This window comes from Homo sapiens, chromosome 3 (assembly GCF_000001405.40).
Source record: "Homo sapiens chromosome 3, GRCh38.p14 Primary Assembly".
NCBI lineage: Eukaryota > Metazoa > Chordata > Mammalia > Primates > Hominidae > Homo > Homo sapiens.
The window spans coordinates 61,283,892-61,297,529 of NC_000003.12; the positions used below are offsets into that span (position 1 = coordinate 61,283,892).

The 13,638-nt window shown below is 37.8% G+C and overlaps 1 long non-coding RNA gene across 2 annotated transcripts in view; it reads right to left on the bottom strand.

The window, feature by feature from the left end:
- Positions 1 to 584: 584 nt before the first annotated feature.
- LOC105377114 (uncharacterized) overlaps positions 585 to 13,638 on the bottom strand; it is a 144,240-nt gene continuing 131,186 nt past the window's right edge. For both annotated transcript variants that reach the window (XR_001740725.2, XR_940892.3), the window contains one exon: positions 585 to 773. This is a non-coding gene — a long non-coding RNA (uncharacterized LOC105377114). The remainder of the gene's footprint in view (positions 774 to 13,638) is intronic.

Here is a 13,638-nt window from a genome sequence, read left to right on the forward strand (position 1 = left end):
TCTCCTAGGCTAGAATACAAGCAATTTTATGATTCTCTCTCAGTATAAGTGAAACACATTTTCTCTGCCTTGTTGATATAAAACTTGTTTTCTGACATGCTTGCTTTGGCCAATGAAATGTTAATGGAGGCCTTAAATGTACTTGCACAGTTTGATTTGCCTCTAACATTCCTGCTGTTCACATGAGATGAGCATGCTGCAGATAGCTGTTAGTTCAAATGGGAATGAGAGAAATGTGGAATAAATTTGGATCCAACATGTAGGGTTGATTCAAGTTCAGCTGGTACTAGCCAAGCACAACAGAACCTTAGCCAAATGTAGATTTATGAGCAAAACAAAATTAAATGCTTGTTATTGTAAGACATTGATGTTTGGGGGTAGTTCGTTACACAGCATTATTGCAGTAATGGCTGTCTATTAAAGTGCCCATGTCCCTTACCCCATTAGTTCTCCTATCTTTGTTGAATAACTTAAATGAGTTAAGACATTTCGGGCACTTGGTAAGTGTTGGTTGTTGTTATTCTGCTGTCTTATGAATATAGGCTATAAATTGAGAGATACAAGACCCCAAATGTCCAAAACCATGCTGCCCCCTACTCTGTCATAGTAGTGCCATCCACTCATACTTACACTATGGTACAGTACATGGCACAGTTGATTTCAGAGACAAATGAATTTCATTACAGGAAAATTGGTTTCTAGTACATAAAAAAATCTGAGTCCAACCTCAACTGCTGAGAAGTAGATTTCTTGAAATCACAGGCAAGCACATTCTGTAGGGGAAACAGGAAGGTTAAAAGGTAGACCGTTAATATGACTCTATTTAATTATTAATCTGGCTTCAAAAGTCTATCTACAAAAACCAAAGAGTTAATTTCTGTCCTAGCTGTGCACAAAGGCTTATCTCTATAGCTATCTCAGCATTACTTTGGAAGTAAAAATGTTGGAAACAACATAAATGCACAGTAGGAAATCAAGTAAATTTTGATGCAGATATACAATGGGATAGTATGGAGCCATATTACTTTCCTGTTATAGAAAAATATTAAATAATAGGGAAAGATGTCCACTATATGTTGCTTAAATGGAAAAAATAGAGTTACAAAATGATATTTGCAGTTTGATCCCATCTTTTTTAAAGAAAATATGTATTTAACAATGTGAAAAGATATTCAACCACACTTATTTAATGGAAATGCAAATTGAAACCACATCAAGAACCATTTTCATGTATTAGATTGTGACAGACCCAGAGTTTCATAACATCGTTGGGTGAGATGCTGAGGAAAAAGACATGCTCATCCATTGCTCATGAGAAATGTAAATTCGTATAACTTGTATGGAGAATGATAGGGCAATAGCTATCAAAATTGCATACGCGTATTTTTGAATCAGCAATTCTAAATTCAAATTCTAGAATTTCAAATTTCGAATTCTACAAATATATCCCAAAATATTTGCACTTATTATGTGCAAAATACAAGGTGTTCTAGGTTGCACTGCATCCCCTCAAAATTATATGTTGAAATCCTAAGCTATGGTACCTCAGAATGTGAACTTATTTGGAGATAACATCTTTACAGAGGTAGTCAAGGTAAAATGAGGTCATTAGGGTGGACCCTAATCCATTGTGACTGGTATCCTTGTAAATACAGGAAATTTGGACACAGAAACATAGTCAGAGAAAGAAGACGATGTGAGAAGACAGAGCAGAAAGATGGTCATCTAGAAGCCAATGAGAGAGGCCTGGAGCTAGATCCTTCTAGTTCTGAGACTTCTAGCCTCAGAACTATGATACAATAAATGTCTGTGGTTACAGCCACCTAGACTAAGGAATTTCATTGGGACAGCCCTATCCAACTAATACACAATTCTCTCATCACAGAATTGTGAAAAGAAAAGATTGGAAACAACCTAAATAACCATTAATGGGGAACTGGTTAAGTAAATTAAAGGTATAATGAATTTATATATGTATGTGTTTGTGTGTGTGTGTGTGTGTGTGTGTGTGTACATATATATTCATTTATTGAATACCATACATCATTTTAAAAAGAAAATGCTTTTTGAATTAATATAGAAATAGCTCCAAGATGGATAGTTAAATGAAAAAACAAGACACAGAACAATATGAAGGCCCAGTTGGTGGCTCACTCCTGTAATCCTAGCACTTTGGAGGCTGAAGCGGGTAGATCACTTGAGGTCAGGAGTTCAAGATCACCCTCGCTAGCATGGTGAAATTAGCCAGGCATGGTGGTGGGTGCCTGTAGTCCCAGGTACTCAGGAGGCTGAGGCAAGGGAATAGCTAGAACCCGGGAGCCGGAGCCTGCAGTGAGCTGAGATCGTGCCACTGCACTCTAGAAAGAACAATTTGAATATTATGCCAACATTTAGGTGGCAGAGGAAGAAAAATATACACACATAATTATTTGAATCTACTTAGAATATCTCTGCAAGATCACAGAACATTGAAATCTCTGAAGAGAACTGGACAGCTAAGGTTCTGAAGAAGGAAGATTTTTCACTTTATAACCTTTTTACTTTTTGAATTTTGAACCATAAGACTGCATTACTTATTCAAGAATAATTTGTGTTTATGTGGATATGTATATACATATAGTAGAGAAATTAACTAAAAGAATATAAACATATAATCTTAGGGCAGTAAGATAGAGGTTATTTTTTATTCTTATCTCCTTTTTGCTTAAAGTATTACCTCTGCAATTAGAAAAACCACTACACTTTTAAACATATTATATACCATTTAAGGATAGGAACATAGAGGCAATAAAGAGAATTGTCTTGTTTTGCTTTGCTTTTTAATCAACATGGTAGGAAGTACATTAATAGAAGGACCTTAGAGAGAAGCTTCCAGCTGAGAACCAGAAAATAAAAGCAATATTAAGTAATTTTCATGGTTATCTTAACTTCCACATACTAAGTCAAGAAGAATTACTTTATTTCAACAGATGCGAATGCAACAGCCTATTTTAATTCACTAGCTTGAAATATAAAACTCATCATTCATTGGGATGCCATTAAAATAAAGCCTACATGTGTCTACTCTGAGATTCAGTCTTCAGTAATAGTCCACCACTATAATTGTGAAGAATCAGGTGCCTTACCTTCATATGTAGACTATCATTAACTACATTATATCTGAAAGACTGTCTCTCAGAGGAGATAAATAAAATTGAGGACAAGTATTTGAGCCCTTATCAGTTTATTAATGAACTAGCAAACTCCTGTGTATAATGGATAACACCATAGGGCTAACTGAGCTAAAGACAGCAATGATACTATTGTATGTGGAGCAAAACCACTCCCATAGGCATGCTCGAAGATAACATGAAAAAGAGAGCCCTGAATAATGTGAATTTTAATGTTGACTTTGAAAAGATTTCATTTTTCTATAGGATAATCTGGGTCAGCAATAGACCTGTACAGATTTGCTAGTATTAAAGGTCTATGGAAAGAAATTGCTTATAAAAAAGGCTGCACAATTTGTATTTTCTTGATTTTACAAAGCAGACAACATATCATTCATAGCCCCATATTTATCTTTAATATGTGGCTATTCCAGAATGAGGTAGTTCAAATGGGTTTTTCATTTGCTGGTTTAAAAATAAAATCTTGTCAAACTCATTAGAGAATTTAAAAGCATTGGGTAAGAATGGTTTTGCATTACAGGTAGATTTAACATCTCAATTTTTTGAGTCAGATCCAAACCCTTCTCAGTTTTTATTCTTCTCCCCATATAGCAGTTGGGATAAAATTCTTGGCTCTGCTTCAAAAGAGAAATAATACATTGGTATTTTATGATGGGCCTTCAAGAGGAACACTGAAGTAAAATCATGTCTCCATAATTTTCATCATTATGAAAAATATTAAAGTATCTCAATGGTGGATACTCCCAGAAATTGCCTTGGGCAACAGGAGGAAGGTATTCCCAAGTACCCACTGCTGACCCCTTTGACAATTTTAAAATATGAGTGCAATTCCTTTAACACTTCTCCCATGAGAAGTGGGGCCTATGTCCCCTCCCTTGAATCTGGACTGGTCTTAGTGACCAGTAACCAAGAAAATGCAGTGGAAGTGATGCTGCATAATTCTAAGGCTAAGTGAGAAAAGTCCATGCAGCTTCTTTGTTTTCTTGGCATGCTCGCATAGGGGGATGGCCAAGCGCCATATAACACATCTGATTACCCTGAGACCAACACGCTGGAAATGCCGTGGTAGTCACATCCGCTGCAACCATGTGGGTAAGCCATCCTCATATAAGGATCCCCTGCCTAGTCAAGCTTCCAAATGACTGCAGCCCTGGATGACACCTGACCCCATGAGTGATCCCAAATGAGAGCAGGTTAGCTAAGCCCTTTCCTAATTCCTGACCGTCTAAATGGTGAGCAAAATAAAATGTTTATTTTAAGCTACTCAATTTGGGTAATTTTTACATAGCAGCAATCAATAATAATAATCATAAAAGAGATAGATAATGTTTTAGCCTTTTAATGTCTCTAAAATCTAAGATCACAACCAACCTTTATTCCTTAAAAAGTAGCATCTTTCCAACCTACTCTGATACTTCCAGGTTCTCAATATTACGTTGATAGTCAAATCTAGATTTTAGACTAAGCTAATAAAAATTGGCCTGAGACGCCAATAACTTCAAGAACAATTGTTGGTCTCATTTACCATCACATACAATGGATCATTCATGAAAGCTGAACAAATGCTACCATAGCAGAAAATCGGCACAGAGGAAGCCGTTGTTCAGGACATGCTGAAGGGTCTGAGACCATTGTCTACATAGAAACACTTTCCTTGAGCACAAACATTACACTCATGTCTTTTCTTATCCCTAAACATTTTTCTTTCTCTGTATTATTCAAGCGCAAGATAAAGTTTTGTTTTTTTATATTGTCACCAAAGCACAGCCATTTCTAAGGCTAGTAACACAGGACACATCTAAAGATGGCAGAGTTCATGATAAAACTTAGTGAATGGTCCACAATTCATCCACATAACTGATTGTTGCAGGACAGTTAAAGCCCCAAACCTAAATTTATTCTACATAAAAATGGGATGATTCAATAGATTCACTGAGCTTCAGTTCTCACTTGATTTGCCAATGAAGCCAAGAACTTCCTGAGATGGGTGAGCGTTTTCAAATGATAAATGACAGAGCACCTTGACCACATCCATTTAGATAACCTCCATGTGGCGTTAGGATGAACTCAAGCAAAACAGACTGACTGAATTTTGCAGTTCTGGGTCCAGTTCACTCATGACACTTGTCTCATCATAATGACAAATTCTCAAGCAGATAAGCAGGGGAGCCATACCTGTACCTCATCTAAGGAGTGATTTTAAAACTCTTTCCTGAGTTGTAATATTCTATATGAATAATGTGATGTTCTGCTGCAAAGAAAATTCAAATTTCTTCCTTACAGACATTTTAATGATTTTCAATCACCTAACCTCGTTCTAGATCACTTTCTCTATATATCAGGTGAAATTCAAGTTATTGCTTATAAGCAATTATTCAAAATTATTCAAAAGAAGAAATTTAATCAAAATTATAAATTAGTTTTAGTAATTGGAGGCATTTAAATAAAGAGCCCTGTATGATATCAACTGCATGCCCCATACCCTCCAAATGGTTGATATAAGATGGGCATTCACTGTGTTTTTTTGACCAGCATCCACTCCCTCTTATTCTGGAAACTGAACCCTTATTTTCCTTGAGGAAACTTACCTTTTCCTCACCCTCGAGCCCTACATTTTGTGAGGGCTTTAGGCAAGGAAGATATAAGATCATTTTTGTATTTTTATAAAGTAAGTTGATCTACATTGTGGAGAATGAGCTTTAGGGGCCCCAAGATGGAATCAGGAATATCAGTTGAGGAGATTGTTGTAGAAATCCCAGCATGTGACAATTATGTCCTGAACCAAAGTTGTAGTAATGAAGATGAGGAGAAGAAATAGGACGAAGGTTAAAGTTATTGCAGATTGACTGGAGAGATAAGTAAAGGGAAGGACAAGGGAGACATAGGTTGCTTATTTGCAAATCTTGTGTTCTGTCGCAAACATCTAGGGGATAGAACCCATTTCTGGTTCATTCTAGTATCTCTCACTTAAGGATGCCTTGGTTGAATCCAACCTAGTGTGATGGTTAAGAGCTCAGATTCCAAAGCCAAACAGCCTGAGTTTGAGTCCTGGCTCTGACACTTACTAGCTGTATGACTTAAGCAATTTATCTGGTTCATTTGTGCCTCAGTTTCCTAATTGGCAAGATGAAGGAAATGATTAGACCTACTTCATTGGGTTGTTGTGAACATTAAATGAGCTATTCCATGCATAATACCCAGAATAGTTCTGGAGAATAGCAAGAGCTATATAAGTGGTTGATGGTATAGTCTCAATAAATATTATAACATTCAACTAACACTCCCCCAGAAAACATATATTCCAGGGGAAAATAAAAGGATCTTTTGACATAACTTATCTGGGTTATTTGCTTCTTGGTGCTGAAATGGAGAAAAGTTACAAGCTACTTTCTGTTAAAAAATATTACAACAATATTTTAAAAAGAACCCCCCCACCCCGCAAAAAAACCCTGACAGAATAAAAAATAACTGTTAACAGGCCAGAATCAAATTGGGAAAAGCAGGATGCCAGAAGGCAAAATCTGAAGCACATGCTATTTAATATCCTTATTAATGGTCTGAAGCACAAAATAAATTGTACATTATTCTTATTTGCAAAAAATCATAAACAGTGAAAAATAGATCAACAGTACAGAATAATCCAGAGACCTTGGAGAGGCACACCAGTTTAAATGTGATGAGTTCAATTTACAAGAACATAAAACAATACACTTTGGGAAAAATACTACGAGGCACAGACATAAACTGAGAATTCTTCTAAAAAGCAAAAAGGCTTAAGAGGATTTGGGGTGATAGTCTACAACAAATTCATGAGAGCTTCCAATGTGCTGCTAGTAGAAAAAGAAGGCAGGGAGGTAAATATTCTAGAAGAGGAGCAATACGAAATTACTGGTACTGAGAGAGCTGAATACTACATGTAGTAATGGCAGTTATTCCAAGTCACCTTATGATTTTCCCATTTCTGCTTTAGAGAAGTACCTAATGAAAGCAGTGTGGCCATTCTTCAAAGAGGTAAAAACAGAAATACCATTCGAACCAGCAATCCCATTACTGGGTATATAACCAAAGGAATATAAGCCATTCTACCATAAAGACATATGCACATGTTATGTTAATTGCAGCACTATTCACTATAGTAAAGATATGGAATAAACCTAAATGCCCATCAATGGTAGACTGGATAAAGAAAATGTGGTACACATATACCATGGAATACTATGCAGCCATAAAAAGAATGAGATCGTGTCCTTTGCAGGAACATGGATGGAGCCAGAGGCCATCATCCTTAGCAAACTAACGCAGGAACAGAAAACCAAATACCACATGTTCTCACTTACAAGTGGGAGCTAAATGATGAGGCCGCATGGACACAAAAAGGGGAACAACAGACACGGAGGTCTACTTGAGAGTGGAGAGTGGGTGGAGGGAGAGGATCAGAAAAAATAACTATCGGGTACTAAGTTTAGTACTCAGGTGACAAAATAATCTGTATAACAAACCCTCATGACACTGGTTTACCTATATAACAAACCTGCACATGTACCTCTGATCCTAAAATAAAAGTTAAAAAAAGAAATAAAAGTACCTAGCAATATTTCCCTCTCTATGAAAATGTACATCTTCATCTCTATACTTCTGAAATAGCAAGGAAACATAAAAAATAAGCCTGGGAAAACATAAACTGGGTTTTTTTTTTGTTTTTTGTTTTTTGTTTTTTCACAGCAGAAATAGGCTCCCAAGTGAGGAATTCCTTTAAGGAATTTGGATGAACAATAACACATTGTTGGAAGCTAGTTAGCTTCCCAAAAGATGAGTTATTATAGACATCAGGTTTTGCCATAGTTATCTGTAAAGGAACATCAAGGATAAACACATTGCATTCATTAAATTACTCATTAAGAAAAAATTTATTGAGCAAAATGTAAATAATAAAGGCAGGTGGTGTGTAATGTCTAGAGACACAAAAATGAGTGAGATATAATTCTCCTGCATGAAACAGGCCCTTCAGTAGATCATTATAACCTGGTATGGAAAATACAGCGATGGACAAACACACAGCAGGAACCCAGAAAGTGTAAGCTCTAACCCCAAGCGGCGGGGAGAGCAGTGCAGAGCAGAGATGGGAGATGCTCTAAGCAGTTTTAGAGGCTGGAGGTTCAGGCTGAGAAAGGTGAGAAGTGACACCAAAATTTAAAAAAAAAAAAAAATCACTGGGTCCTTAAAGAGTCACTGACAAGTGTTAAGTCAGGAAGGGTGAGAGTCAATTTGAGGTTTTATAAGGATCACTCTGGCAGCCAGTTTGGAGGCTGAATTTGAAAGAACAAGTTTGGAAAGAAATGGCACCTAAGAGTCCAGGTGAGCAATGCTGTAAGTGACATCTGGCTTTTTTGCCTGGGCTGCATCCACAGGCGGCCTCATTTCTACGGAAAGAGCACTCTGCATTGGCCTTGGGGAAGACCCTTTCTGCAGGGTCTACACTGCACTGGCTGCATCCTTGGTTTAGAAAGAAATAGGCAGGAGACCCAAGCTAGGCTAATTATAATCGTATCATCCTTTCTCTCTCCCTGGAACTTAAATCATGTGCCCAAAAACTAACAGACGGAAAGCAATGAAGCTACTTTACCACTATGGCAGTGTCCTTAGGAGACCTCACTATTGTCTGTCACCAACATTCCCTGAACCCCCTTCTTGTCCTTCTATAACCCTTCTTGCCCTTCCTGAGGCCTCAGCTTTTTCCTTGGATTCTGAGACCCTCTCCTGCCCCCTCACTTTTTTTTTTTTTTTGCTTAAGTTAGCCAAATCCCATTCTGTTACTTGCAACTACAGAAGTCAAACTAATAAAGGACTGAGTAATCCTTAGGAGATTTAATAAGTTTCTATACACAAAATAACTACATACTTATTAAAAATATATAAAATAAAATTGTTTCTATATGTTGAACTATTTTTAGGTAAGTATGGCTAGGAATACAATCATATTCACACATACAAGTTTTTCTAAGGCAGTATGTACCAAATTACAAATATTTAAAAGTCCTGAAACTGGCAAAAAAAAAAAAAAAAAAAAAAAGAGCAAGCATTTATAACTACAGTTGACCCTTGAACAACATGGGGGTTAGGAGCGCAGACTCCTGCACAGTCAAACATCCACTTATAACTTTTGATTCCTCCAAAACTTAACTACTAATGTCCTACTGTTGACCAGAAGCCTTACCAGTAACATAAAGCATGAATACACATTATATATGTTATATAATGTATTCTTACAATAAAATAAACTAGAAAAAAGAAAATGTTATTAAGAAAATCTTACAGAAGAGAAAACCTACTTACTATTCATTAAGTCAAAGTGGATCATCATAAAGGTCTTCATCTCATTGTCTTCACATTGAGGCTGGAGAGGAGGATGGAGGGGAGGGGCTGGTCTTGCTATCTCAGGGGTAACAGAGGTAGAAGAAAATTCATGTATAAGTGGACCCGTGCAGTTCAAACCCGTGTTGTCTGAGGGTCAACTGTACTTCAAATCAATCTTTTTTAAGTTTAACTGTAAAATTTATGTTTTTAAGACACAAGTAATTTTACTTTCCAAAATAATGGGTTTCCCCAGTTAGTATTAGAAGATGTTTAAAGCTCTACTCCAAATCCCTTAAAAACTTATTGAAGAGGCACTAAAATAAAGTCATGACATCAAGAGAACTATTGAACAGTAGGCTCCCCAGGCATTTCCCCTCAGGGAAAATGGGTAGAGTACTTAAAATAATTTTTTCCATTAGGTATAGCAATGAATCAATTTAAAATTATTGAGTGGCCGACATTGTAACACAGAGGAATAATGTTCTGGAAGTCTCATTTAAATTACTGACATCAGATATTTGAAAATGAATGACTATGGAATCTGCCCATAGGTAAGACACCATGTCTGCAATTATTCTTTCAATTTCAACTAGGGAGATATGCTTTTAAAAGCTTAAAATGAAAGGGGTTTTTTTTTAATTACATTTCCCATTGTATGTATAATTGTACAATCATGGACACAGACAGGGCCCTTCTCTTTCTCTAATAATTGGAGATTTTACAGTGAAGGCCACCCTGACCCAGGAGTTAAATACCAGCTAGATACAGAAGGTCAGGTCACACTCCTGCTCAACAATCTTTAAGGGTTTTCCATTTCTGTCAGGACAGGTACACACTGATATGTAGCTTTCAAGGACATCTGTCATCCTTTCCAATTTCAACCTGAGGCACTGACAAAAATATGCTCAATTTCTTGCCCTTAGATCCCTTCCTGATGTATTCTTTCCCCACTGCCACCATTTCTGTCTGTCTGTCCAAATCCAGCCAGTGCTTAAAGATCACCTCCACTTTTATCTCCTCTGTGAAGATCACTGCAGCCACGCAGACCACTCTGGTTTATTCCTCTTCCAATTTCCTTCTAAACTTACATCCTTACCAGTCACTGGCAATCATCAAACATCATCTAGTATCATGACTTTTCTTGTTATCATGTTCATTACTATTTCCATGGCTAGGACATTCATTCATCCATCAAATATTCCCTGAATTCCTGCTAAATGCAGACATGGTCCTCCGAACAGAGAATCCAACTACAAGCAAAGTAGACATAGATATAGTCTAGTTGAGAGACTGTTTTTTTAATTATTATTCAAATAATCATTCAGTTGAGAATGAAATTGTTGGTGTCCAGTGAGATAACTCCCGCTTTAAGTAATAGAAAAGCTTCACCTGAAATTGGCAAAAACAATATGAACATTTGCCACCTCTCGAGGAAAATTTGGTGGTAAGGTGACTCCACCTGCTTGCTGGTGTCTCAGAGCTGCCCTCCTCTTTCTGTGGGCTCCATCTTCAGGCTGGCATCAGCATGACTGCAGCTGTTCCAAGCAGCTCATCCTGGTCAGCAGACGCAGAAATGGACTGTTGCCTTCTGAATCCTCTTCTTTTTCCGAGTCTCGCACTGTCGCCCAGGCTGGAGTGCAGTGGCGCGATCTCGGCTCACTGCAAGCTCCGCCTCCCGGGTTCACGCCATTCTCCCGCCTCAGCCTACCGAGTAGCTGGGACTACAGGCGCGCGCCAGCACGTCCGGCTAATTTTTTTTTTTTTTTTTTTTTTTTTTTAGTAGAGACGGGGTTTCACCGTGTTAGCCAGGATAGTCTCGATCTCCTAACCTCGTGATCCCCCCGCCTCGGCCTCCCACAGTGCTGGGATTACAGGCGTGAGCCACCGCGCCCGGCCTAAATCCTCTTCTTAACAGCAAGAAATAGCATCTCTAAAGTCACCTAGCACGTATTCCCTTTTGTTTCATTGGCCCAAAGTGGGTTATGTGCCCACCTCTTAACCAATCATTGTCAATGGGATTTACAAGGAGATGGAAATAAGGTGATCCGCCCCTGAGTCGTGCAGGAAGGAGCAGATACTGGAGCAAAATTCAGATTTGGTTATTACAGGAAAAGGTGGGGATGTATGATGAGCAGGCAACTAGCTGTGCCTGATGCAACTACCTAACAACCAAGTAGGGGCAATAAGGGGAAGAAATGTGATCTCATGAGAGTAAGTACAAAGGGACTTACATAACAAAGGACACAGACTGGTGTACAATGGAGAGAAGTGGTCACCTATGCCAGATATTTAGGAGGTTAAGCTTCCAGGCCTTAACAGTGAAGTGGATAGCACGGTGAGAAGGATGGCAGCATCGGAAATGACTTCCATTTTTCTGGCTTGCATCTGCCTTGAATCAGTCAACTAATTGTTAGGACGATTTTCTGAGCTAGGAAACTTTGGAAAGAGACTAAGAGGGGAAGGAAATTAAATCACAATCCCAGTTTTGTGCATGCACATGTGTGTGTGTGTGTGTGTGTGTGTGTGTGTGTGTGTGTGTGTGTGTGTTTAATCCTTTGAGACATTCAAGAAGCAATGTCAATGAGGCAGTTGGGTGTATAGTTCTGGAGCTAGAGGAGCTATCTGGGCTGAAAGTGCAAATTTGTGAAACATCTGTTTATTGAAGCCATGGGAATGGATGAGATTTTCCAGATGGAGAAAGTAAAGACTCAGAAAAGGAGATGGCTCTGGACTGAATCTCGAGAAACTCCAATATTTAATGACAAGAGAAAAAAAAATAGCTGAAAAGAGGGTGGAGACAGAGTTGCCAGAAGATAGTAGATTGCAAACTAACTGGGGCAAGAACTTTTGTATCCTCCATCTGCCCCTCCAACAATAGCTAGCACATGCCGTACTCATTGCAAGCACTCCTATCATATTTCTTAATTGGCTACAATTACTCCTTTCATTTAAACTCCTTTAACTAATAATCATCATAATTCATACCCTTAAAAATACCATTATTACCAAATTATAATATCTTTAATATACAATGTAGCACTTCATTTGACCCATATGGATTACAGCCATGAGAACTGCACTTATTCACATACTTGTGTTTATTTCCCCAGCCACACAGTAAACTCATCATTGGCAATGACCAGCTCTTATATTCTTTTTGTTCTCAAGGTCATAGCACAGTATTTTACCCACAGTAGCCCTTTAGCAGATGCTTCTCGAAGGTACTTAAATTTATTCTGACATTTCCCGTATATTTATAATGTCCTTTATTCTAGGCAATAGAATAGACTTACTGTTCTTGTATTGAGTTTACAGCCAGGCCTACCTTATGTTGCAATAAAAAGGCCTAAGATGAGGAACCAACTAGTCTATTTCTAATCCAAACCCATCACATTTCCAAGGTCAAAATTATCAAAAGGCATTTTTTCCTTAACTGTGCCTTTGCCATTTAATCTGCAGCTCATTATTTTTCTAATAGAATGGTTAATAATTTACCAAGTACAAAAATGAAGATTGTGCCTTCGAAGAAACATGCCCCCCTCCCTTTTTTAACCAGATAATTGCTAGTAACATTAGACTGCTGTCAATCAAGCAACACCATTCTAATTTTATGCTCTAAAATGCATTAGGAGTCATTTATTCTCTGTCCCTTTAATAGCCAACATTTCAAATTAATTTTAGAAACTCAATAGATAATGACTGTAGGCTGTCCCATTTTTAAGAAGCTAGGTCTTAAACTCAACCTGTGGTCATCAGTGGACATCTGTCCACCTTGGGATCGCCAGTAGAGATGTGTCAAACCCATTGTCTTCTGTGCCTCTAGAATCATTTTAAGTAAAGGAGCAAATAAATGCCTGTCTGTATAGGTAACATAAAAATGTCACTGCATGCATTTTAAGGAAGAAATCCATCTTCAGGAAAACAAAAGCATGGCATGGTCAATAATGAAGAAGAGAGTTGGTGAACACCGATATTTAAGTCTTACCATGAAAACAGCCAAACCAGAAATTTCAGAATACTTCTCTCCAAGACTATCGGAATTTCACAGTGCATCAATGACGTTTTCACTAGGAAAACACCCAGCTCACACTTTTACCATTTGTGAGGACCCAAA